This window comes from Homo sapiens, chromosome 6 (genome assembly GCF_000001405.40).
Source record: "Homo sapiens chromosome 6, GRCh38.p14 Primary Assembly".
Taxonomy (NCBI): domain Eukaryota; kingdom Metazoa; phylum Chordata; class Mammalia; order Primates; family Hominidae; genus Homo; species Homo sapiens.
The window spans coordinates 11,525,061-11,552,736 of NC_000006.12; the positions used below are offsets into that span (position 1 = coordinate 11,525,061).

General features: G+C 39.0%; 1 protein-coding gene across 2 annotated transcripts in view, besides 6 other annotated features; it reads left to right on the plus strand.

Moving 5' to 3' along the window:
- Positions 12,153-12,982: a silencer, noted in NCBI's record as "silent region_16913". NCBI's record gives its function as "represses an Ori minimal core promoter by ATAC-STARR-seq in GM12878 lymphoblastoid cells {active_cell/tissue: GM12878}" and the evidence as "EXISTENCE:reporter gene assay evidence [ECO:0000049][PMID:35858748]".
- Positions 12,689-27,676, plus strand: part of TMEM170B (transmembrane protein 170B) — a 45,776-nt gene continuing 30,788 nt past the window's right edge. For both annotated transcript variants that reach the window (XR_007059185.1, NM_001100829.3), the window contains exon 1: positions 12,689-13,314. Coding sequence is in view for 1 of the 2 variants with exons in the window: in NM_001100829.3 (NP_001094299.1) it covers positions 13,218-13,314 (97 nt within the window). In the remaining variant the exon portion in view is untranslated. The remainder of the gene's footprint in view (positions 13,315-27,676) is intronic.
- Positions 12,982-13,483: an enhancer, noted in NCBI's record as "H3K4me1 hESC enhancer chr6:11538275-11538776 (GRCh37/hg19 assembly coordinates)". NCBI's record gives its function as "activates a minimal SCP1, AML or CMV promoter by ChIP-STARR-seq in naive H9 embryonic stem cells {active_cell/tissue: H9 hESC(naive)}" and the evidence as "EXISTENCE:reporter gene assay evidence [ECO:0000049][PMID:30033119]".
- Positions 12,982-13,642: a biological region, named in NCBI's record as "H3K4me1 hESC enhancer GRCh37_chr6:11538275-11538776".
- Positions 13,013-13,172: a silencer, noted in NCBI's record as "silent region_16914". NCBI's record gives its function as "represses an Ori minimal core promoter by ATAC-STARR-seq in GM12878 lymphoblastoid cells {active_cell/tissue: GM12878}" and the evidence as "EXISTENCE:reporter gene assay evidence [ECO:0000049][PMID:35858748]".
- Positions 13,273-13,352: a silencer, noted in NCBI's record as "silent region_16915". NCBI's record gives its function as "represses an Ori minimal core promoter by ATAC-STARR-seq in GM12878 lymphoblastoid cells {active_cell/tissue: GM12878}" and the evidence as "EXISTENCE:reporter gene assay evidence [ECO:0000049][PMID:35858748]".
- Positions 13,363-13,642: a silencer, noted in NCBI's record as "silent region_16916". NCBI's record gives its function as "represses an Ori minimal core promoter by ATAC-STARR-seq in GM12878 lymphoblastoid cells {active_cell/tissue: GM12878}" and the evidence as "EXISTENCE:reporter gene assay evidence [ECO:0000049][PMID:35858748]".

Here is a 27,676-nt window from a genome sequence, read left to right on the forward strand (position 1 = left end):
TTAAATACCTAAATATGAAAAACAAAATTCTGATTTTAAATGGAAAATCAACCTTGTTGGCTTAAATTCCCAATGACTTCAAACCAGGCAAGCTTTTCAATATAAGTTTTTTGAAGTTATGTATTATACATAAATCTTTTCACAGTCATTAATAGCCCTAACAGGCTACTGTGACTGGATCAAAAATAAAACTTCCAAGGGGTGTATTTCTATTTCAAGGGGTGGATGTCTACTCAGTAATTTCAAAGTAAGTGATCAATTTAAACCCATAGATTTATTATTTTCATTCTCATGTCTTAGACCTCAGTATATATGAGAAGGAAATGGCCTTGCTTTTCAAAGGTTTACAAAGAATAGAAAGGAATAAACAATAATTTGAAAATGCTTAATTATCTATTCACACCATGTTCAAACTTTCAGAAGGGAAGGAAGGTGGGCAAAGGGCAAAAGGGCCTTTTTGTCTTCTCTTTAAGTAACTTTTCCAGAGGTTCCAGAGAAAGAGAGAAGAAGGTCATTAACAAAGTCACAATGAGATCTTTCATTTTTTTTTTTTAAACTTTGGTAAGAACCTAAGACCTGCCCTCTTAGCAATGAGATCCTTTAAATGGGCCTCTCCTTACACATGGACCAGGAATTTGTCAGGGCCTAATCTTCACCTTGGAGTCAATTAAATTCTTTATTCATCCTTCTACTGTACTTCACGCATTGTGTTTTTACAATAAAATACTAAACTGCACTTTGGAAGTTGAAAATCCAGGATGAATATAAGAAAGTTGAAACTAAAGGGGAAGATCCCTTGGCAGCCAGACTCAGAAGCAAGCAGCCCTCTTTGGTTGCAGGGAGGAAGTCACATTTTGTGGTGCAACTTGTTGGCTTACGTGCAACCCTTGGCCTAATTTTGAAAGATGACATCTAGTCAGCCATTGCCTAACTCAGTGTCTTACTCAAGAGATGTTTGTTAATTTGATTTTTACAACTGTCTTAAATTCCTTTGGTCATCTGGAAAGATGAAGAAACTAAAATAGTTGACAGGCTGCTCTAGCTGATACAAGCATTTTTCAAACTGAAAATTAGGTGACATGACCATGGCTATGAGGAAGGCCATTCATCTTATTCTATTTGTATAATTCCCTAAGCATTTGTGCAATATATATATCAGTGACTGGGTACACATTTATATATATATTATGAGTACACACACACATATATGTTATATATATTATGTAATATATGTAATATATTTGCTGAGTAAACACATTATGCTATAAATATACATATATAATACAAATAATAATACATACATATTACATATAATACATAGTCATGCATTGCATAACGACATTTTGGTCAACAATGGACCGTTTATACAGCAGTGGTCCCATAAGATAAAAATGGAGCTGAAAAATTCCTACCTATCGCTTAATGACATTGTAGACATCCTAATGTCATAGCACAATGCATTATTTATGTGTTTATGGTGATGCTGATGTAAACAAACCTCCCATGCAGCCAGTCATATCAAAGTAGAACACATACAATTATACATAATACACAATTGTATATAAAGAATGATAATAAAGAACTATGGGCCATGCACGGTGCCTCATGCCTGTAATCCCAGCACTTTGGGAGGCCGAGGCCGGTGAATCACCTGCGGTCAGGAGTTTGAGACCAGCGTGGCCAACATGGTGAAACCTCATCTCTACTAAATACAAAAAGTAGCCAGGTGTGGTGGCAGGCGCCTGTAATCCCAGCTACTTGGGAGGCTGAGGCAGGAGAATTGCTTGAACCCGGGAGATGGAGGTTGCAGTTATTCCGAGATTGCACCATTGCACTCCAGCCTGGAACACAGAGTGAGACTCTGTCTCAAAAAAAAAAAAAGTTAACATAAAATAGCCTCAGGTAAGTCCTTCAGGGGGGATTCCAGAAGAAGGCATTGTTACCATAGGACTTGACAGCTCCATGCGTGTTACTGCCCCTGAAGACCGTCCATGGCACAACATGTGGATGTGGAAGACAGTGATATTGACGAGCCTGACCCTGTTTAGGCCTAGGCTAATGCGTATGTTTGTGTTTTAGTTTTTAACAAAAGAATCTAAAAGGTAAAAAAAAAAAAAAAAGACAAAGTTTTGCAAACAGAAAAAAGCTTATGGAATAAGGATAGAAAGAATGAAAATATTTTTGTACAGCTGTAAAATATGTTTGTGTTTTAAACTGCTATTACAAAGAGTCAGAAAGCTTTTAAAATTTAAAAGTTTATATAGTAAAATTGTTACTGTAATCTAAGATTAATTTATCATTGTAGAAACATTTTAAAAATAAATTTAAGGTAGCCTAAGTGTGCAGTGTTTATAGAGTTTACAGTAGTGTACAGTAAGTTCCTGGGCCTTCACACTCACTCACTACTCACCCACTGACTCAGCCACAGCAACTTCCAATCCTACAAGCTCCATTCATGGTAAGTGTCCTATAGAGTTGTACCAATTTTTATCTTTTATGCCATATTTTGACTGTACCTTTTCTAAATTTAGATGTGTTTAGATGCACAAATACTTCCCATTGTGTTACAATTGCCTGTGGTATTCAGGACAGTAACCTGCTGTACAGGTTTGTAGCCTAGGAGCTATAGGCTGTACCATCTAGCAAAGGTGTGAAGTAGGCTATACTATCTAGATTTGTGTAAATACACTCCATGATGTTCACACAATGACAAAATTGACTAATGATGCATTTCCCAGAAAGAATCCTCATTGTTAAGTGATGGGTGACTATATACATTATACAAATAAAACATAATACATATGTATTATATATATTGCATATAATATGTGTAATTATAATGTGATATGGATTATAGAATGCAAATATATTTATTAATATTATATAACACATAGAATATATATATATATATATATACATGTGTTCTCAGTAACAGTTTGTTACCTATTTATTGTTTCTAATGTATGTTTTATTCTCCCTTAAATAGATGCTAAGGTCTTTGAGGGTAGAAAAAAAATCTTCTATTTCTTAACACTTATAATTAGTATAATGAAATGAAAGTGATAAAAATTATAAATTTGTGTTCAATCTCATACTTTTACAATAGGCCAGATATTGTCATTAGTTTCCCAATTAACCCAGATATTTACAATATGAGCTTGAAAAAGTTATCTAAGAAGGCATAAAAAATGAACATTAGATATTCATCACAGAAATAGAAAAAAACCCCTAAAATTTATATGGAACCACAAAAAACCTTGAATAGACAAAGCTCTCCTGAGCAAAAAGAACACAACTGGAGAAATCACATTACCTGATTTCAAATTATATTAATACTACAAAGCTATTGTAACCCAAACAGCCTGGTACTGGCATAAATACTGACACATAGACCAATGGAATAGAATACAGAACCCAGAAATCAATCCCTGCATTTAGAGTGAACTCATTTTTGACAAAGGTGCCAAAAACATACATTGGGGGAAGGAAAGTCTCTTCAATAAATGGCACTGGGAAAACTGGATATCCATATGCAAAAGAATGAAACTAGACCCTTATCTCTCATCACATACAAAAATCAAATCAAAATAGATTGAAGACTTAAATTTAACTAAGACCTCAAACTATGAAACTACTAAAAGAAAACATCAGGGAAATGTTCTAAGACATTGGTCGGGGCACAGATTTCTTGAGTGATACCTCAAAAAACACTGGCAACCAAAGCAAAAATGGACAACTGGAATCCCATCATGCTAAAAAGCTGCACAGCAAAGGAAACTATCAACAAAGTTAAGATACAGTCCACAAAATGGGAGAAATGTGTGCAAACTGTTCATCTGGCAAGGAATTAATAAGCACAATTTATAAGGAGCTCAATCAATTCAATAAGAAACAAGTCTAAAAATCTGATTTTAAAATGGGCAGAAGATCTGAATAGACATTCCTCAAAAGAAGACATACAAATGGGCAACAGGTATGTGAAAAAATGTTCAACATCACTAATCATCAGTTACATGCAAACCAAAACTACAATGAGATATCATCTCACACCAGTTAAAATGGCTTTTACCCAAAAGACAGGCAATAATGAACGATGGGGGAGGATGTGGAAAAAGGGGAACACTCGTACACTGTTGGTGGGAAAGTAAATTAGTACAGCCACTGTGGAGAGTAGCATTAAGTTTCCTCAAAAAACTAAAAATAGAATTACCATATGATCCAGCAATCCCACTGCTTGGTGTATTTCCAAAGGAATGAAAATTAGTACATTGAGAAGATATCTGCACTCCCATGTTTGTTGCAACACTATTCATAATGGCCAAGATATGGAATCAACCTAAGGGTCCATCAATGGATGAATGGATAAAGAAAATGTGATGCATATACCCAATGTAATATTATTCAGCCATAAAAAAGAATCAAATCTTGTCACTTGTAACAACTAGGATGGAACTGGAGGACATTACGTGAAGTGAAATAAGCCAGGCACAGAAGACAAATGTCATATGTTCTCACTCATATGTGGGAGCTAAAAAGTAGATAATTAAATGCACAGAGATAAAGATTAGAATGATGGTTACCAGGCCAGGCCCGGTGGCTTAAGCCTGTAATTCCGGCACTTTAGGAGGCCAAGACGGGCAGATCATTTGAGGTCAGGAGTTAGAGACCAGCGTGGCCAACACGGTGAAACCTCGTCTCTACTAAAAATACAAAAATTAGCTGGGTGTGGTGGTGCACGCCTGTAATCTCAGCTACTTGGGAGGCTGGGGCAGGAGAATCACTTGAACCCGGGAGGCGGAGGTTGCAGTGAGCCAAGGTCACACCACTGCACTCTAGCCTGGGTGACAAGAGTGAAACTACGTCTCAAAAAAAAAAAAAAAGATAATGAATGGTTAATGGGCACAAAAATTATAGTTTGATCAAATGAGTAAGAGCTAGTATTCTGTAGCACAATAGGGTGACCATAGTTTAAAAAAATGTATGTTTTAAAATAACTGAAAGAGCGGTATTGGAATGTTCCTAACACAAAGAAATAATGAATTCTTAAGATGAAGGAGATCCCAGTTACCCTGATTTGGTCATTATAAATGGTATGCCTGTATCAAAACTCACATGTACACCATAAATGGAATTATTACGTACCCATAATTAAAAACTTAAAAATTAATTTTAAAATAATTGTAATATTATGTACCCATAATTAAAAAATTAAAAAATAATTTTAAAAAAGAAAGAAAAAAGACCATTGGAAAAATTTACTTTCAGAGTTTCAATTTTTTTAATGCAACTAATATTTCTAGTTGAATTCAATTTATGATGGATTGGGTTAGGTACCCAATTGGACAGAACTTTAATATGGAGAAGAGTGATGGGGTAACATTTATTCTGTACGTTATATGAAAACTTAGAAAGTCATAATAAGTGAAGAAAGGTGGTCTGGATGAATTCTCTAGGAAACAGCCTTTGCCTGCTGCAAGGTGGCAGGATTTTGTGGGTAGACAAGATATACTCAAATTGTTTGTGTCTACAGAAAATTTGGATCATCTAGCTTTGATTAGTAAGCTGAATTTACCAGTTGACTTCTAGAAAATAGAATCACTGGAAACCTGGAATACAAAAGAATGCATTCTTGTCAGAGCAGTATTGGAATACTAATTAGGGAAGCTCAACCACTGAAGGAAAAGTCCCAAATTACAACAGGTTGCTAACCTAAAATAATCAAAATGGTCAAAATCTAGTTTAAGGAGAGTGTGTTCAAGTGCAATGGGGGGATGGCCCACCTAGGAAGTACAGATTCCAAAGAATGGAAGCCAGTGTTCCAAAGTGTAGGACTTATCTAAGCTTTAATGCCTCGTTACAATGATCTGATTAGCTAAGGTGGTCTTTTTCCCTTGAGAAAGGTACATTTAACATTCCACATGGAAGACGTAACTGTTATGGGGTCCTGAGCACCATCTAGTCTGAGTTAGATACAGGACAAAGGAGGCAGCTAATCTATAACAAAGATCAGTGATTGGAAGGAAAGATCTGGGCTCTGATCTGTCTTACTCATTTACAGAACAAGAACAGTGAGGAAGACAGTTAAGCTATAATGTAAGAAGCAGAATTCCAAACATATGACGTGACTCAGTCTCCAGGGCTTACCTTCCCTGTTGGCATAATAAATTCAGAGGGTCCTAAAATTTTATTTTCTTTTATAAACTCTATACCAAGGAAGTTCAAAGGGGATTCCAGATCAGCTGGGGGGCTCTCTGTCCTGTTCTATGCACTCTTTCAAGAAGCCAGGCTGATACTGGCTTTGACATCTTTGACATGTGACTTTCAAAAATACTGGAGTGTCACCATCCCAATGAATCAGAAAAGTAAAAAGAGTATGGAGCAACAGTTAAAAGAGGTTTTGATATGCCAGGCATGGAAGTGGCACACATCACATCTGGGCACGTTCCAAGGCCATACTTCCCTGCAAGGGTGGCTGGGAAATGTATCAGGTTGTATGCCCAGGAAGAAGAGATTTTAGTGAACAGTGAGTATCTATGCCTCAAAAGTCATTCAACAAGCAGATCTAAAGTTCCTGTAAGTTTTGAGCCTCAGAAGTCTTATTAAAACAAGGGGCAAATTGAGGAAGTAATGGTTAAATTTTGGGGATTTGGATTCAGACAGTATTGGGCTAGGTGACCTTGGCAGGTTACTGGCTGCCCAGAGCCACAATTTCCTTATTTGAAAAGTGAAGCTAATAACAGCACAACCTTAAAAGGGTGTTGTGAGGGTTAACAGTTTACAGACTGGTATGTGAAAGATAGAAAGTGTTAAATAAATGATAGTTTTCAAGCTGTTCATGACAACTCCACTTCTCATTTCAAAGCTTCTTTCAATAATAGGAGGGTCGTGCCTTCTGTTGAACATACTGTATAACCCAGGTGTCTTCAAATCTCCTGAATTTCTCAGATGGTTAATTTTGTGTGTTAAATAGAATTATGGTTAATTTTATGTGTCAACATGACTGGGCCATGGAATATCCAGTTATTTGGTCAAACATTATTTGGGGTGTTTCTGTGAGAGTGTTTTTAGGTGAGAGTAACATCTACATTGGTGGATGAAATAAAGCAGACTGCCCTCCCTCATGTGGGTGCCTCATCCAATCAGCTGAAGACTTGAATAGAGTAAAAAGGCTCCCCCAAGGCAGGCAGAATTCTTGCCTAAGTGTCTGAACGGAAACATTGCTCTCCTAGTTCTCAGGCAATGCAGTCTCAGACTGGAACTACACTATTGGCTCTCCTGGATCGCCAGCTTGCCAACTCACCCTGCAGATCCTGGGATTTGTCAGCCTCCATAATCGTGTGAGCCAACTTCTCATAATAAATGTCTTTCTATACATAGGCAACCTATTAGTTCTGTTTCTCTGGGAGAATCCTGACTAATACTCTTTCCCTAACTAAAATGCTGCATACAGTTGGGAGCCCCTGAAACCCATTTTCTTACCAATGTTTAGTAAATGGTCTAGGTTTGGGAGAAGAATAGGGCTATTTTTAATGGGCATTTGTCACTAAACTTTCATTTCTCCTGTATTCTCAATTTTATCACTTACCTTTCCTTAATACTATAGTTTCCACCCTACATTAAATTATTTCTTCATGCCCAAACATCACTTTCCACACTTTTACTAAAGGAAACAGTGTTATGGCCCAGGAAGGGCAGGTGACTCCCAGACAGCATGGATCTAAGTGGCTGGGAGCCAGGGGTCGGGGGAGAATTTTCACTGATTGCACGTCATATCATGAGAGTTTTGAGTCATATGAATTCATCACACTAAAAAAAAAAAAAGGTGGGAAAGAGGTAGATTCTTGCCCATCAAGAAAATCCTTCACAATTTCTTTCTGCTTGTTCTTTAAAATAAATAATTATTTAGAAGATTGCCATTTCCATACAGTTCTAAAAAATCTATTAATATTTAAATATTACAGTAATAAAAACTAGTATTCATTGAGTATTTACTGCTCCAGACTCCACTCTAAGCACTTAATTACTAAGTACTTTGATCCTCAGAATATCTCAAGGAAATATTATAATTAAATATATACTATCTATAATGAATAACAGATATATTATACATATAATAGAATATTATAGTTCAAATTTTACAGAGGAGAAAACTGAAAGTTACAGAGGTTAAGTAACTCACTGAATGTTGAATGTTCACTCCTGGTAAAGCAATAAAATCAGGATTAAAACTTAGGTAGTTTAGCTGTAGAAGTAAGAAATAGAAAAAAATATATACTCTTAAATCTGATGGAGAAGGGGAGGAAAAGGAGGTTATAAGGAAGTGGAGTTATATGATTTTAGGATTGCTGAGAGTGGATGGTCACTAGATACATTCTAAACAGAGGATGAAGTGTATATCAGTTATGGTCACAGAGATTACTATAAAATACAAAAACAAAACCAATCCTTTCAAATTATAAGGAACATAAACAAAGCAAAGGAAACACAAACCATACCCATGAAATACTTTTTTAAAAGAAGCAACAAAAATAGAAATAATAATATAACTATGATGCAAGTAATACCACATATTTATTATATCAACGACTAGAAATTATCTAGAAGTTCTTCTATTAAATTAGAAATTTCATATTGGAATACGATGTCAAACTCCTAAAACAAAATTATTCAAAGTTGAAAAAGAATGGAAAAATACATATCAGGCAAATGCAAACAGAAAGCAGGACTTAAGACCTTAACATCAGACAAGATTCACATAAATTTTAAAAGCATTTTATAATGGAAATTAATATATTTTTAATTTAAGAAAGCAAAATCACAAATCTTACATACATATGTGTTCACTAAAACACATAGAATCAAAATTCGTAAAGCGCAAACTACAAAAAGTACACAGAAATATAGGCTGAAATATATTATTTGTAGAAGACTTAACCTCACTCAGCCTGTGTTAAGACTGCATTATTTGTTCATTACCATTTGTTGCCCCCTCCCATTCATTCTTTCCATCCTTCTCTGTAGGCAGAATATACTTTTTTATCCCATTCACTTAGGGGCTTAACTATGCAATCTGCTTCAAACAAGGGAATGTGGATATGTGACATGCATGTGACATGGACCCCATATCTGAGCATGAACTTTAAATGCACCTGTGTAGTTTAGCCCTGCCTCTCTTGTCCATGCCAGAGCTGGGATAAGGATGAGGTGGGTGAGACAAGGTCTTGCAAGTGCAGGGTGAGATTCTGTGTTTATTTAAAATTTTGGTATTTCATTAATCATGGATTTTTGCATGAATTTTTATTTTTAAAAATATTATATTAGTATATTATTTATCTTGATAACAGAGTGTTTCAGAGTCTGTTGTCAAGACTTGCAGGCAAGGCTTTGCAGGCAAGGCCAGTGTCCCATTGTAGCCCTGGTTCCAGCCCTATACCATGAGAATGGCATGTACTCAGAGCGTGACATCTTCCTCAGCCTCAGGTATGAAATGAGAAGACCTGTGGAGCTGGACTGAGCTGAATCAAGCTGAATCAGTCTAGATTTTGGACTTGCATGGGGCCTGTAGCTCCTTTGTTGTGGCCAATGTCTCCCATTCGGAATGGCTGTATTTATCCAATGCGTGTACCCCCATTGTATCTAGGAAGTAACTAACTTGCTTTTGATTTTACAGGCTTATAGGCGGAAGGGACTAGCCTTGTTTCAGATGAGACTTTGGACTGTGGACTATTGAGTTGATGCTGAAATGAGTTAAGACCTTGGGGAACTGTTGGGAAGGCATGATTGATTTTGAAATGTGAGGACATGAGAGTTGGCAGGGACCAGGGGAGGAATGATATAATTTGGCTCTGTATGGTTTTATCAAGGGTCTCCACTTTTGCGTCTTCCTCATTCTCTCGTTGCCTGCTGCCACCCATGTAAGACGGGACTTGCTCCTCCTTGCCTTCCACCATGATTGTGAGGCTTCCCCAGTCACATGGAACTGTAAGTCCAATTAAACCTCTTCCTTTATAAATTGCCCAGTTTTGGGTATGTCTTTATCTGCAGCGTGAAAATGGACTAATACGTTAAGTTGATACCAGTAGAGTGGGGTGCTTCTGAAAAGATACCTGAAAATGTTTTTCTCAAAAGATCAATATCATTTTATATTTTAATTGATTTTAAAAAGCTTTCCTCTAGGTTGTCTCTGGACAGTTTTAAAAATGACTAAGGCTAATGGGTGTTCCCTCACTTACATGAGAGAAATAAACCAGGAATTTTGGTTTATGAATTACGTTTGTGAATTGTTTCATGCTGAAGGGCACAGAGTTGAAAGGAAATTTTTGGATTCACTTGGGGTGGTCCCTGATTTCTGACAGGAACGTGACTAAACTCTTCCTGAATTGGTGTATTAATTCAAAATAAAAAATCTGTAGGAAAGAAATTCCAAAACTTTCATTTGTATTAACTCAGTTTTGGGTTTCATAACTCTGGCTGTTGGGAAAATGTCTAATTCTCTTAAGGATATAAGCTTCCAACACAGTCAAGATCATTACTTTTATCAAGGAAAACCTAAGTAGCCTAGAGAGTAGAGATCTTATCTTCAAATGTTACAGATAACACCTTGCACAGAACATTACAGATAGTAGATGCCAAATAAATATAGACGCCAATTAAATTGAACTGAACAGCAGGGGTGAAGTTGTTGGGCAGCAAATAACATTACTGACTTGAGACTTCATTGCTGTGTCTTTCTCATTTCCTGACATGAACACTTGGATTCTGTAAAAAATATTTATTCAGAACAAGAACAATGCTGACTTTTCTATGAAGATCATTCAGTGATTCATTCAACAAATATTTGTGGTGCAGGTGCCAGGCACTGTCCCAGGTTCTGAATATTTTCACTGCGTGCTACTGTGTTTTAAATAATAGTGTGCAATCCTAAGAACGTAAACTAACTAAAGGTTTCTGATATGAGAGTTTAATGAGCCCCTGCTCAGGGAGTTTGCTGTGAACCCTTCACTGAATGTGGTCACATTCCCTAACATCACTAATTATGTAATGCCAAGTCCCTTAAGAATATCATTAGGTAACCTGCACTTCCCCATCAAGAATCTTAAAGTGAGGGAGTTAACAGTGGGTTAAGAAAGATAATGTGGTTGCTAGAAAGAATAATAGACCAGGAATTCAGAAACTGAGCTGTGAAGTGCTGTCATCTCTGTCAAGTCACTTAATTCACAGAATCTGTTTCCCTATCTGTAAAATAAAATTAGAAAAATGTTAAAGCGCTCTTTTAGGTTTGATATTCTGTAATCTTGTTAATAGATCTAATTAAGTCTAAATTCTAGGAGGAAGATAAACTCTACATTAAGAGTTTTGGCTCAATTCCTATTAATGGTGCAAAAATTTCTCTTATGTTGTGACATCAAAAAGAAAATACAAATAAACAAAGAAATAAATGTGTATGTAAATATTATTTTAAAGTGGTCACCAAGAGCACCATTTGACAGGTAATTTGACCCTTCAGTGCTTTGTCAAATATACTTCATGATTTAGCTACAGCAGGTATTTCTTCACTTCTCTTTGTAAATTTTTCTTTATCCAGATGGCAGAGGGGTTGAAAAAAGGTGGGGGGAGGGGCTGGCTACTGCATATTTATGTTACTGCTAAAACTTAAATTTTTATTTTTTAAAGTTAGAAGGTTTCCAATTTCGAGGAGTTTAACTTGTAGTTGGATTTTAGATGCTCCTCTGGCTAACGCTGGACATGAAGACAGACAGCAAAGCGTGGGGAGAGAGATCTAGTTTAAGTTCGAGGGAAAAAAATAACAGACGCAACTTAGATAAAAGAATACTACCATCAAAAAAAGGGGGGCTAGAGCCGGCGATGGCCTTGAGGATTAGGACACCTGCCGAGCCTGGAGTAAACAGGTAATGTCAGGCAGGTCCTGGAACCCCGGGAGGCCCAAGTTCTTGCTGCGGGAAGAGGGATTAGCAGAATGATAACGCAGGTCTGTTTGTGTTTTAGGGGTTTTAACATGCATTCTGCAAGTAAGTGACCTATCCAGGTCATTCGATTCAGGCTCAGAAAAAAAACCCCGCAAATTAATATATCTAAATGCTGAGATAGTGACACCTTTTTAAAAAAGTTATACATAAGCATCTTTATCAAAAAGCATTACATTTTAAGGCAAAAATCTGAACTGTCACAGTATCCACCTCACCGAGTTCAGCAGCCCCACCTTGGGTCAGGGCTGCCCCTGCAGCGCGGGCCCCCGAAATGCCCGCACCGCCCACGCCGCCCGCACCGCGCGCACCCAGCCGGGCCAGGGCGAGGGATCCAGGTCTCCCGGTCTCTCAGGGCGCGCGCCCGGGGTCCGGGGGTGGGGGGCGTGGAGGCGGTTCCCTTGGAGCGCCCAATCAGCAGTAAGGCCCGGCGGTGGCGCCAGTGACGTAGACCGCGCTTCCCTCCGCCCCACTGCGGGCCGTCGCTCGGCGCCGTCAGCCACGCGCGCTGCAGCGCGAGGGGAGAGCGAGAAGGAGGGCTTTGGGGCCGACCGGCTGTTGGAGGGCGGCGGGTCGCGGGGAGCGGGGGAGTGAGCATGCGCAGCGGCTCCGGGGAGCGCAGGGGAGGAGGGGCCGGCGCTGAGAGGCGCGCGCGTGCGCGTGCACGAGTGGCCCGCCGGCGGCTGCGGGTGGAGGGGGCGGTTCCTCGAGTGTCGGCGACCCGAGGGCGGGCAGGCGGGCGGCAGGTGCCGCCGCAGCCTCTGGCTGGTCCCGCGTCTCCGTCCTCCGGCGGCGATGAGCTGGGCCCTGTCGGGGGCTGCACCTGCCGGCTGCCCATCAGCACCGGCCTCCTGGCGTGACCTCGGCCTCCTCGCGTGTCCAGTCCCCGCGGCGCGGCGCTGCCCCTGAGAGGGAGCGGCGGCGGCCTCCTCCGCCCCGAGTCCTCGCTCGGGGGCCGCGCGAGGACGGCGCCCGGCCCCCTCCCCTCCTTCCTCCGTCCGCCGTCCTCAATGTCTCCCCGGCGGGGAGGGGGCTGCCTGGGAGACACGCTGAGCGGCCCCCCCACGGAGGCCCTCCGGCTGCAGCAGCAGCAGCGCCCGGCCCGGCGTCCCGCAGCCTCCACCAGCGGCGGCGGCCTGGAGGAGCCGCGCACCCGCCGCCGCCCCCCGAGCCTCGCAGCCGCCGCCGCCGCCCGGCACCCGAGGAGAGGGCGGCGGGCGCCCCTCGGGGAAGATGAAGGCGGAGGGGGGCGACCACTCCATGATCAACCTGTCGGTGCAGCAGGTCCTGAGCCTCTGGGCCCACGGGACGGTGCTGAGGAACCTCACGGGTAATTGACGCGCCTGGGCTGGGGACGGGGATGCGGTCCGCCCCTCTCCTGTCTTCTCCTTCCTCGGGAGGGGACACGCTCCTCGCCGCCCCACCCCCGTGCGCGCCCCGCTCGGAGCTCCAGGTCCCGGCGAGGAAGGTGTTAATCGGAGCCACTCTGCGCGTGTCCCGGGGGCGCCGGCTCCCGCCACCCCCTTCCCTGAGTCGCCAGGGGAGCATCAGCGACCCCCGCTCCTGCCCCGCACGGGGAGAGCTCCCGGTGGCGGCCCGGCCTCTGTAGTACGCGCGGAGTAGCTTTAGTGCTGAGACTTGAGCGCATTTCGCTTTTATTCCATTACCCTCCTCCCCTCCCCCTTCTACACACATCGCTTCTTGCTATTTACATCTTTTTCTGATTTAGTTCTTTTTCTTTCTGGCAAATCTCAAGCCAAATGTAGAACCTAAAATCATTGCCCACAATGGTCGATTTACTTTTTCAACCGCTAATTTTTTGGGCGATGTAGATAACTGAGTAAATTATAGTGGGTCAGGGGCTGAGCTAAGGTCTAGTGCGGTCTAAGCGTGTTAGCTTCATATATCTCCTTCCCCTCCCATTTCCTTTTGTCTGTCTGTCTCTTTCCCTCAGGCCTCCAGCTGCTGCTTCTGAGACATTTGATAATTTTGTGTATTTCCCTTCATTTATTAAGGCTGTCAGTAATTGGCCTTATAACATCAATTTCTATTTGTAAAAGTGAGTGATAAAACACACAATATTTTTATTCAGTCTGTAGATTTGCTTTGTGAAGAAACTTCTGGTTTTGTTATGTGGAAATGCTTACATTATACTTTGAGTTCCGAATTTAAAAATTATTCTCTGAAGTAGAATTTACGAGAAAGAGATTCAGTTGCGATTTGGTGACTCCTCAGTGCCTGCTTTTCAGAGGAAAAAAATCTTAAAAAAATACTCAGAATTTAATTCTTGAAAATGTGTAAGGCAGTTAATTTCAGTAGAACATTAGTATTTCAAAATGCATTTTGTCAAACTGGTTAAAGTGTTGTGAGTATTTTACAAATATAACCTGGGTTCATATATATAACATATATATAAAGTCTGGCATGGTATAGAATACAAACATTCATAGAAGAAAATTTTATGGAATTATATACCACAAAAGACAACTTTAAGGACACTGGTTTCTTCGAATGGAAACTATACAGTTAAAGTAGATTCTGGATTGCTTCATGCTATCCTCACTTTTAAGCTGTGGTTATTTAACTTGAAACAGACTGACTTTACATGATGATTGCCGGTAAGGAATATATTGTTATAATTCTGGAAAACTAAATGGACATAAAGACCATCTCATGATTCAGTTGAATTTAGAGGTAGACTGCTTTATCTTACTTATGATTTTGCTTGCATTTATCCACTGTTTGGTATTTGAACTGTACCAGTTTTTGTTTAAGTGAAATGAAAAGTAGGGACTTAACATATATTTGTGCAGGCATACCTTGGAAAGATTGCAGGTTTGGTTCCAGAACACCACAATAAAGCAAATATTGCAATAAAGTGAGCCAAATGAATTTTTTGTTTTCCTAGTGCATGTAAAAGTTACATTTTACCTGTAGTCTTTAAATGTGAAATAGCATTATGTCTGAAAAAAAAGTACAGACGTTAATTTAAAAATACTTTATTGCTGAAAAATTGCTAACGATCATCTGAGCCTTCAGCAAGGACGTTATCTTTTTTCTGGTAGAGGGTCTTGTCTTTGTGTTGATGACTGCTGACTGATCAAGGTGATGATTGCTGGAGATTGGGATGATGGCAGTTTTCTTAAAACAGCAATGAAGTTTGCCACTAAGGAAGAGCAATAGACTCTTCCTTTCATGAAAGATTTCTCTGTAGCATGGGATGCTGTTGGGTAGCATTTTATCCACAGTAGAACTTTCAAAATTGGAGTCAGTCCTTTCAAACCCTGCTGCGGCTTTATCAACCGAGTTTATCTAATAGTCTAAATCCTTTGTTGTCATTTCCACGGTGTTCACATGATCTTCACCAGGAGTAGATTGCATCTCAAGAAACCACTTTCTTTGCTCATCCATAAGAAGCAACTCCTCATCCATTCAAACTTTATCATGAGATTGCAACAATTCAGTCACATCTTCAGGCTCCACTTCTAATTCTAGTTCTCTTGCTATTTCGACCACACCTATGGTTACTTCCTCCACTAAAGTGTTGATCCCCTCAAAGTCATCCATGAGGAATGGAGTCAATTGCTTTCCAACTCCTATGAAAGTTGATATTTGGACCTCTTCTCATGAGTCACGATTGTTCTTAAGGGCATCTGGAATGGTGACTCCTTTCCAGAAGGTTTTCAATTTCCTTTGCCCAGGTCCATCAGAGGAATCACTATCTCTGGCAGTTTTAGCCTTCTTACACAGTGTATTTCTTAAATAATAAGACTAGAAAGTCAAAATTACTCTTTGATCCATGGTCTGCAGAATGGATGTTGTGTTAGCAGTCATGAAAACAACATTGATCTACTTGGACATCTCCATCACAGCTCTTGGTTGACCAGGTACATTGTCATTGAAGAAAATACTCATTAAAATGAAAGGAATCTTTTTTTTTTCTGAGCAGTTCTCAACAGTGGGCTTCACATATTCAGTAGGCCGTGCTGTAAACTGATGTACTGTCATCCAGGCTTTTTTGTTTCATTTATAGAGCACAGCCAGGGTAGATTTAGCATAATTCTCAAGGGCGCCAGAATGGTAAATGAGCATTGGCTTTAATATAAAGTCACCAGCTGCATTAGCTCCTAAGAAGAGTCAGCCTGTCCTTTGAAGCTTGGAAGTCAGGGATTGACTTCTCTCTAGCTGTGCAAGTCCTAAATGGCATCTTCTTCTGATATAAGGCTGTTTAATCTACATGGAATATCTGTTGTTTGGGGTAGCCACCTTCATCAGTTAGCTAGATCTTCTGGATAATTTGTGCTTCTACATCAGCATTTGCTGCTTCACCTTGCACTTTTATGTTATAGAGGTGTCTTTTGTTAAACCTAAAGAACTGACATCTGCTAGTATCAAACTTTCTTTTGCAGCTTTCTCACATCCCAGCCTGCATGGAATTGAAGAGAGTTGGGGTCTTTCTCTGGGTTAGGCTTTGGCTTAGGGGAGTGTTGTAGCTGGTTTCATCTTCTATTTAGACCACTCAAACTTTCTTCATATCAGAGAGCAGTCTGTTTTGCTTTCTTATGATTTGTGTGTTCACTAGTGTAACACTTTTAATTTCCTTTAAGAATTTTTCTTTGCATTTGCAACTTGGCTGTTTGGTACGAGAGGCCTAGCTTTCAGCCTAACTCATCTTTGAACGTGCCTTCCTCATTAAGCTTTATCATCTCTAGCACTTGATTTAAAGTGAGATATCTGACTCTTTTTTTCACTTGAACACTCAGAGGCCAATGTAGGATTATTAGTTGGCCTGATTTCAATATTGTTGTATCTCAGGGAATAGGGAAACCCGAGGAGAGGGAGAGAGACTGAGGAATGGCTGGTTGGTGGAGCAGTGAGAACACACAAGATTTATCGAGTAAATTATCGAGTAAAATAGTAACATCAGAGATCACTTATCACAGATCACTATAATAATAAAATACAATAATAAAATAATAATAAGATAATAAAATTTGAAATATTGTTAGAATTACCAAAATGTGACACAAAGTGAGCCCATGCTGTTGGAAAAATGGTACTGATAGACTTGCTTGACACAGAGTTGCCTCAAACTTACCATTTGTAAAAGCCAAAATAAAGTGAAGTACAATAAAACAAGGTATGCCTGTAGATATTAATCACTGGATTAGCTCATCAAAGGGTTTTTAGAGAAAGTTAGCTTTGGGAGCCATAGAGTAAATGTAAATGTAACTTAACTCCTGGCCAGCTTCAACAATATTTTTAAATAAGTAAGATTCTAATGATTATAATTGCCTCCAGTTCTGCAAGTCAACCATTAAGCTGATAATAGTAGTTATTCATCCAGGGTTAGCTCCAATATGTCTTTCAATATGATCTTAATACTTGCCAGTTGCTCATTGGACCTTGCCATTTCATAAAGGATATGCCGAACATCCCAAACTAGGACTGAGGCGGGACTGAGGACCATGGGAACCTCTACTAGGAAATAACTACTGTCTGAATATGTGAAATTCTAGGCGTCAGGATAAAAATGCAGAAAGAAACAGATTAGAAATATGTTTCACTAGTGGTAGAGTGTACCACGTTAGGAACCACATCTCTTCTCAACAGTGGCAGTCTATAAGTGATAATATTCTGATGGGATTCATTGTGGCCTTCTCCATGCCAGTGACCTTAGTGATTTGGTGTGTATCTTAATCATTAGTTAACAGATGCTGCCTACAGTGCCATTTACAACTTTGTCTGCTCAAAAGAGGCGAGTAAACACAACTTCTGAAACATCTGTCATTTGTTGAATGGCCGCTGTGTGTTAGGCACTTTACATATATTATTTCTAATCTTCAGAATAACTCTTCAAAGTACATTTGAAAGGAAACTCAGAGAGGTAAATTAAATTGTCCCAAATCTTATAGCTAGTATATGACTGAGCTGGGCTTTAGACCCAAGTCTTTGCCTCTAGACTCCTCTTTCTTCTTTACCATGCTACTTCAGCTACTTCCTCCTTACTTTCTTCACGCAAAATTAATTTCTTGCTTCATCTTGCTACTTCTGCTCTTTGTACATATTTTTATTATGTTTTTCAATTACGTTATAATTTGTATTTATCTCTTCTAGACTGTGAGCTTTTTGAGGGTCAGTCCATTGCCTCACCTTTGAATTCTTATACCCTAGCATTATAGTACCTGGCACGTAGTAAATGATAAATATATGTTTATTGAGATGAATTTTTAAAATTTTAACAGTTGCTTGATTTAAACATTCTATATTGCATTGTTTCTCATCTGCATCTCTTGGAGTGAATATGCTGTTAAGGAAGAATGAAGTGTTTAAGCAACTCATATAAATCATTTTTATACATACCTTTAAAACATGCAAATGCTTATTGAGAGTAGTTTTCTGTGTTGGGTATAATGCTTTCATATATTTTGTTTAATCTTTTAGGCAATCCTGAGAGATTATTGTTCTTATTTTACAGATTCAGATACTGAAGCAAAGAGTAACTTGCTTAGATCTGATAGCTAATAGTGAAAAAGTCATTATCTTTTTTCATAATATGATAACACATATGTTAACTCAGAAGGCATTTTTTCGTCATCATAAACTTGGAAATGAAACTAATAGAAAGGAGCATAGTCTAGAACCAGTACTACTTGGATTTAAGAAATAACTGTGTGAAGGATTTGCACAAATTTGCTTAATAGGCATTCTGATTAATTGGATACCAAATGAAAGGGAAATATGCTGTCACTAGTGTTTTTTTCCCATGTACAAAGAGATGTGATGTGATTTTTCACCTTGTGTATTATCCCAATAGGTGAAGTGGGAAAATATACTGACCTTTTTATCTTAGAGACTGACCTCTAGAAAGTAGTCTTGTTTATATATTACTTTGATAAAAATAAATTCTTAAAAAGTAATAATGAGAACTACAAACATCTTAACATTTTACAGCCAGAACGACTTAATTTTAGAAATATTGAAATATCACTCCATCAGTGAAGTGACATGGCTGAGATCAGTTATTTAATGACAGAGGCAGGACTGGAACCAGAGTTTCCTGGACCTTTGTTCTCTGCCTTTCCTTTTTCTCCTACATAGCTTGTTAACTCAGGCAGGTCGAGAGAGAATAAATATTACGGTACAGGTTGAACATTCCTAATCTGAAATTTTGAAATTCAAAATGCTCCAAAATCCTAAACTTTTTGAGCAACATGACACTCAAAGGAAATACTAGAACATTTCAGATTTCGGATTTTCAGGTTAAGGATGCTGAGTCAGTAAATAGCATGAAAATATTCCAAAATCTGAAGTCTGAAATCCTTCTGGTCTCAAGCATTTCAGATAAGGGATATTCAACCTGTACTTAAAAGTACCCTGGTAAGTGTTTGCATCAGTGAGCCTGAAGATGTATGAATGGAACTAATTTGTCCAGAAAATAAAATATACTGGAAAATGTAATATATTAGGCTTTCTAACATTTTAAGTTGCCATTGCCCTTGTAAAAGCTAGTGATCCATATTCATTATCTAGCCAGTTTTAGAACTCCTACCAAGTTCAGCCTGCTATTTATTTCCCCTACCTTGGAAGACACTTGTATGGGGATTCCATGTAGAGCATACTAATCCCTCGAAACCCCGTATCTGTCACTTAATAACCATTGCCAAAATTCTCTTTCTGTACATATCACTTCTTTAAGTGTGTTTTTCACAGGATTCCTAAATTGTTTAACTGTGTCAGTTATATGCTTCTGAAGTAGAGAGATAAATAGCTTCCTTTCTTTTTCAAATAGATTTTCTTTCTTTGAATATATTCTAAATTCCCAACCCCAATCTAAAATGAGAGTCAATATTGTATATACAGTTTTTTAGGTAACTTGACTTTTAAAAAATCTACAATTAAATGTTTTTTTTTTGGCTTTACTTTTATTTTCTTTAACTATTTTGGCTTCCATCTTAGTGTTCTGACCCAAATTTGGTTGCTAAGAGTTTAGAGAAGAATTTTTATTTAGAAAAGGGCAGGGTCTGTAAATCCCAGTATAAATGCAAAACTTGGCTGGTGTTAGGAAAGGGATAATTGGTCCCTGGGAAAAAGATGAGGGCTGCTTCAGGCTGGTCTCTCTGTGTCAGCAGCAAATGTAGGGGCAGGTGTTCCCTTCTTTTTATTGGTAATAAGCATTGGGAGGCTGGGAATTCAACCTGGAATGAAGGTTAAAAGGCTTCTCTCTCTCTCTCTCTGTGTGTGTGTGTGTGTGTGTGTGTGTGTGTAGTACTAGTAGTAAGTAGTAGTAGTAGTAGTAGTCCCGTTTATTCAAAGGCAATATGTTCCAAAACCCCCAGTGGGTGCCTGAAACCATGGATATTTCTGAACCCCATATATACAGTCATGTGCCATGTAACTTTCCAGTCAAAGAAGGACCTCATGTGATGATGGTCCCATAAGATTATAATGGAGCTAAAAAAATTCTGTCACCTACTGAGATCATGGCCGTCCTAATGTCATAGCGCAACACGTTACTCACGTGTTTATGGTGATGCTGGTGTCAACAGACCTACTGTACTGCCTGTTGTATAAAAGTAGAGCATATATAGTTATGTACAGTACATAATACTTGATAACAACTGTGTTACTGGCTTATGTATTTACTGTACTAGATTTTTTATCATTATTTTAGAATGTACCCCTACTTGTTTAAAAAAAAAAGCTGAATCCCAGCACTTTGGGAGGCCGAGGCAGGTGGATCACGAGGTCAGGAGATCGAGACCATCCTGGCTAACATGGTGAAACCCTGTGTCTACTAAAAAAAAAATACAAAAAATTAGCCGGGCGTGGTGGCGGGCGCCTATAGTCCCAGCTACTTGGGAGGCTGAGGCAGGAGAATGGCATGAACCTGGGAGGCAGAGCTTGCAGTGAGCCGAGATTGCACCAGTGCACTCCAGCTTGGGCAACAGAGCGAGACTCCGTCTTTAAAAAAAAAAAAAAAAAAAAAAAGGCAAGCTGTAAAACAGCCTCAGGCAGATCCTTCAGGAGCCATTCCAGAAGAAGACGTTGTTACCTTAGGAGATGCCAGCTCCCTGCCTGTCATTGCCCCTGAAGACTTTCCATGGGACAAAGTGTGGAGGTGGAAGACAGTGATATTGATGATCCTGACCCTGTGTAGGCCTAGGCTAATATGTATGTTTGGGTCTTAGTTTTTAACAATTTTTTTTTAATTTTAGAAGTAGAAAAAGTTTATAAAATTAAGAATATAAAGTATTTTTCATACAGCTGTACAATGTATTTGTGTTTTAAGCTAAATGTTATTAGAAAATAGTTAAAAAGTTAAAACTTAAAAGTTTATAAAGTAAAAAAGTTACAGTAAGCTAAGGTTAATTATTGCAGAACAAAAAATATTTTAAAAATAAATTTAGTGTAGCCTGTGTATAGTGTTTATAAAGTCTACAGCAGTGTACAGTAATGTCTGAGGCCTTCACATTCACTCACAGTTTCACCTGGAGCAACTTCCAGGCCTGCAAGCTCTATTCATGATAACTTCCCCATACAGATATTCATTTTTTAATCTTTTATGCTATATTTTTACTGAACTTTTTTATGTTTAGAGACACAAATACTTCCCATTGTGTTACAATTGCCTGCAGTATTGAGTAAAGTAACATGCTATACAGGTTTGTTGCCTAGGAGCAATAGGCTATACCATATAGCCTAAATGGAATATATGTTAGCTTATACCATCTAGGTTTGTGTAGGTACACTGTATAATATTTGCACAATAATGAAATGGCCAAATGACACATTTCTCAGAATGTATCCCCGTCATTAGGCAACACATGCCTGTACTATGTTTTTTCCTACACATGCATACCTGTGATAAAGTTTAACTTAGAACTTAGGCACAGTCAGAGATTAACAACAACAAATACTGTAGTAAAAGTTATATGAATGCGGTCTCTCGCTCTCAAAATATTGTATTGTACTATACTTATCTATGTTCAGACAATATTCGATAGTGGGTAACTGTAATTGCAGAAAGTGAAACTGCAGATAAACGAAGAGTATTGTATATATGTATATTTAGGATATGTATACACATGCACATATACATACTACATCATAGTTCCCTTTTAGGCATTATAGTTGCTAAGCCATTTTTGTTTCAATATTTAGTGTCAGTCAAAGAAAAAATAAAAGAAAGTGAATATTTAGTATATATATTTGGAATTGTTCACATTCATACTGGTATAGTCAGCACCTTCCTTCAATAGCGTTCCCAAGAAGGCATGCTTCTCTTGGGGTTACTCTGTATTCTAGCTTACCATTAGGTTAAGTTCCTCTTCCTAAATGCTGTATTATAGGAGGTGAGCTTAAGTAGAAAAAATTACTTCAAATGTCTACTTAGAGTTATTTATGTTTTGTAAATGTGCCCTAAAGATATATGCTACTTTTCAGTATTTGTGTCAGACCTCCATTTTACTTTTTTAAAAAATGTGAAAAGTCCTTACCCTTGATAGGTACAGAGTCAATTAATAAGTGCCAGTATGATATGGCCTTCATAGGATTTAACTTCTTAGGAGGCTTACCTGTATATCTTATTGAGAATGAAAATGCTATAATTTTTAAAAACCGAAATTGTCATTAGGGATTTTTTTTTGTTTTTACCATTTGTCATTAAGTTTTTATTTTCTTAATTTCTGTCTCATTATTTTTGAATCATAAATTCATATCCTCTAGCAATACCAAGTCCAAGGTCCAGATGACATTTCTTCGATCTGAACCATTTTCTGGATATGTCTTGGGACTGCTTGAGTTATAATTTTGATTCTTTAATATTAACTATGATAATAAAATGTATTTATCTTTGTTTAGTGTTTGAAAGGAAGGTCTAAGAAAGTAAGATAGTTCATGAAGAGGAGTCACAATTTCTAGGGATATGTTTTCTGTAGAAAAGAAACCTAAACAGAAGAGAGAGGAGGTAGGGATGGGGACAAGGAATTGAAACTAAGGAAGGAAATTGGCAACAAAAGCCAAAATTGAGAAATGGGATCTCTAATTAAACTAAAGAGCTTCTGCACAGCAAAAGAAACTACCATCAGACTGAACAGGCAACCTACAGAATGGGAGAGAATTTTTGCAATCTACCCATCTGACAAAGGGCTAATATCTAGAATCTGCAAAGACCTTAAACAAATTTACAAGAAAAAAACCCATCAAAAAGTGGGCAAAGGATATGAACAGACACTTCTCAGAAGAAGACATTTATGCAGCCAACAGACACAAGAAAAAATGCTCATCATCGCTGGCCATCAGAGAAATGCAAATCAAAACCACAATGAGATACCATCCCACACCAGTTAGAATGGCGATCATTAAAAAGTCAGGAAACAACAGGTGCTGGAGAGGATGTGGAGAAATAGGAACACTTTTACACTGTTGGTGGGACTGTAAACTAGTTCAACCATTGTGGAAAACTGTGGCGATTCCTCAGGGATCTAGAACTAGAAATACCATTTGACCCAGCCATCCCATTACTGGTGTATATCCAAAGGATTATAAATCATGCTGCTATAAAGAGACATGCACACGTATGTTTATTGTGGCACTATTCATAATAGCAAAGACTTGGAACCAACCCACATGTCCATCAATGATAGACTGGATTAAGAAAATGTGGCACATATACACCATGGAATACTATGCAGCCATAAAAAAGGATGAGTTCATGTCCTTTGTAGGGACATGGATGAAGCTGGAAACCATCATTCTGAGCAAACTGTCGCAAGGACAGAAAACCAAAGATCGCGTGCTCTCACTCATAGGTGGGAATTGGAACAATGAAAACACTTGGACACAGGGTGGAGAACATCACACACTGGGGTCTGTCATGGGGTGGGGGGAAGGGGGAGGGATAGCATTAGGAGATATACCTAACATAAATGACGAGTTAATGGGTGCAGCATACCAACATGGCATATGTATACATATGTAACAAACCTGCACGTTGTGCACATGTACCCTAGAACTTAAAGTATAATAATAATAAAAAAAGAGTGGTCAGAGGTAAGAGGAGAGCCCAGAGAGTGTAGCATGTTGAACTTATTGTAGTATCAGATGAATAAGTCTACTGATGGCTATATTTATTGAAACCTCACTGTGTATCAGACCCTATATAAAGCATTTTGCATGCATCTCATTTTCTATAAAGTGAGCGTATAAATTTATTTAAAATATGTGATATCAGGTGTGATAGGTTAATTTTTTATTTTAAATGACTAACTACATGAACAGTAAAATAATCATAGAATAAACAGTGGCAGTACCAACACATTTAAAAGAAGCCTCAGGCCAGGCACGGTGGCTCACGCCTGTAATCCCAGCACTTTGGGAGGCAGAGGTGGGTGGATCACGAGGTCAGGAGATCGAGACCATCCTGGCTAACATGGTGAAACCCCGTCTCTACTAAAAATACAAAAAGTTAGCCAGGCGTAGTGGCGGGCACCTATAGTCCCAGCTACTCGGGAGGCTGAGGCAGGAGAATGGCATGAACCCTGGAGGCGGAGCTTGCAGCGAGCCGAGATGGCGCCACTGCACTCCAGCCTGGGCGACAGAGCGAGACTCCGTCTCAAAAAAAAAAAAAGAAAAAAGAGGCCTCATTAGATTGTCACATTCCATCTCATGACTTTGGCTAAGTAGATTAAGCATTGAAAGAAAAAGATTTTTTTCACCAAACTTTATGCAAATAGGAAGAACACAATTTCTTACTGGAGTCCAGTTGCTTGTGTTATGATAATCATGGAATATAATCTAAGAGCATATATCTACTTGTTGTAGTAGGACTTGAAAAAAATGAAAATAGCTTTGAGGAATGTAGGTTACTAGATCAATTAACATTAGCTTATTAACATACTCCATTACTCCCCTTCATTTGGTATGTTATCCCATATACTTACATGTACATCAATTTTTCTAACTTTTTATAAATAAAGACGGGGTCTCGCTGTGTTGCCCAGGCTGGTCTCAAACTCCTGGACTCAAGCAGTCTGCCCACCTTGGCCTCCCAAAATGCTAGGATTACAGGCACGAGCCACAGTGCCCTGCCTCTAATTTTTTTCATAATCCTGTCGTGGCTTATATAATTTTTTTTTTTTTTTTGAAGCAGAGTCTCACTTTGTCACCCAGGCTGGAGTGCTGTGGCGCAGTCTTGGCTCACTGCAACCTGTGCCTCCTGAGTTCAAGCGATTCTCTTGCTTCCGCCCCCAAGTAGCTGGGATTATACAGGTGCCCACCACCATGCCCAGCTAAGTTTTTTTATTTAGTAGAGATGGGGTTTCACCATGTTGGTCAGGCTGGTCTCGAACTCCTGACCTCAGGTGATCCACCCGCCTCAGCCTCCCAAAGTGCTGGGATTACAGGCATGAGCCACTGTGCCCAGCCAATTTCTTTTTTTTTTAGCCAACGCTTTACCCTGACGGATTGTATGATTCTTATATAAAAAAACGTATACCCAGGGTTTTGGTACTAAGGAAGGAAAGTGATGTATTTCCTTCTTAGAAATTTTACTTTTAGTAGTTAACATTTCTTTAACACCTTTTAATGTGCTTGGCATTGTTCTAAGAATGTTACATGTATTATTTCATTTGAGCCTCACAATAATCCCACGAGGTAGACACCATTATTAATTCAGTTTGTAAAAGTGAGGAAACAGGCAGAGATTATTTTGCCCTTGCTTACGGAGTGTCTAAGCCATGACTTGAAAAATTACCACTCAACTGCAGTTCAGTTGAGCAAACATTTGAGTAACTTTACCATGGACATGGTGCTGTCAGAGATACAAAGATAAATACATAGCGACTATTTTCAAGAAGCTTATATTCTTGAGTATTAACTTATACATCTTTGTATTAGTTATCTATTGCTGAATGACATTACCCCCAAATTTAGTAGCTTAACACAAGACACATTTATTTTCTCATACAGTCTCTGATGGTCAGGAATGCTGGTTCTGGCTCAGGGTCTTACAGTGTCCAGTCAAGCTGTCAGCCAGGACTACTGCATTCTCTGCAGACTTGTCTAGGGCTGGGGGTTCAGCTCCCAGGGGCATTCATGTGGCTCTTGGCAGGTGGTGGGAGGCCTTCTCCATAGGGCTACTCACAACTGTTTTTTTCAGAATGAGAGATCACACACACATAGACACAAACACACAGTAAGAGAAACCAAAACAGAAGCCACAGTCTTTGATAGCCTAATCTTGGAAGTGATATACCATCATGTCTGCTGTATTCTATTGGTCATACACAGACCAGCTCTGGAACATTGTGCGAGCAGACTGCACAAGGGTGTGGTAGGGACTCTTGAAGGCCTGCTGGATGCTGGCTAAGACAGTCTTAAAGGTGGGTATGGGGAGAAAGGAATGAGGCTAAGGGAAGACTAGGGGCATCATAGCAGGTGAGGGAATGAAGTGTCTGTAAAAACAAGGTGATTAGAAAAAGCAGAAAACTGTCTCGATATGTAAAATCATGTTTAAATAGCACAGTCTAGCATTTTCAAGGATTAATCCTGATATTTCTTGATTATAAGTTATGTGCCAGTCTCTGTGGTAAACACTGATGAACAAAAGTGAAAATGTCAGTCATTATCCATAAGGAGCTCAGTGATCTAGAGAAGCTAACCTTTAGATTAAGTAATTCTTTTGTGGCTTGTTGAGTTCAGGAAGAACCAGGCAATGGAACTGTGAAGACAGCACAAGAAGAGGTTAAGAGTGGAGCAGGAACCTGTTCATGGGAGGGTAGAGAGGCAGGAGAGGTGAACTGCCTATGGGTTGGTACTACCAGGACATGATTATGTTGCTGCTCTTGGGTGCCTTGGAAAGCAAAGATGTTTTCATCAGTAATATGAAACTGGATTTTCATTATACAGTTTTTTCCTTCTGTCACTCCCTACCATGAATTACGTGAATCTGTCATGGTTTCCAGGCCTGCGTATCAGAATCACCTGGAACTGTTCATACAGATCCATGGCTCCAGTCGATAAATGTGGAATTAGGATCTTAGAACAAGGCCTAGGATGCTGCCTTGTAAACCAACTCTTCAGGAGATTTTGTTATTGAGAGCTTAGTGGTTGGGAACACCCGATTTTTTTAAAATTATTTTTTGTGATCAATTTATAGCTATCTTAACGATGTATAATAGTTAATATGGGAGATTTGGACTTATTAAAATTTCAGTATAAATGACTCACTTATTTCCAAGAGCATATGATAACCCAGATTTTTTTTAAAGTGACTTGTCTTTTAACAGATTATATTAAATTTATCTTTTGAGAATGTTTTCTTCATTTGTATGCAGTATTAGCCATAGAAAATTATCCTTACTAAATTATAATACAGTTATCCCTGAGTGTCGTCATCCAAAAGACCACTAGGCTGGCTAAATAGTAGAAAGGATAGTTTTATCAGCAATATCAATTTGCAAACCAGGAAGAGACAGTCTCTGCCATGTGCATGTGCAGAAAGCACTGTCTCTTCATAGAAGGGAAGTTGAGGTTGGGTTTTATTGCCTCTCAGAGTTTGTATTACACAATAGAGTCATACATATTCAGCAGGTTTGGGGGAAAAGCTATACATATTTATGAGAGGAGCTGAGTGCATGCTCAGTGGGTAAACATGGGTAACATATATTCTCTGTTTACTTTGGGGCAAG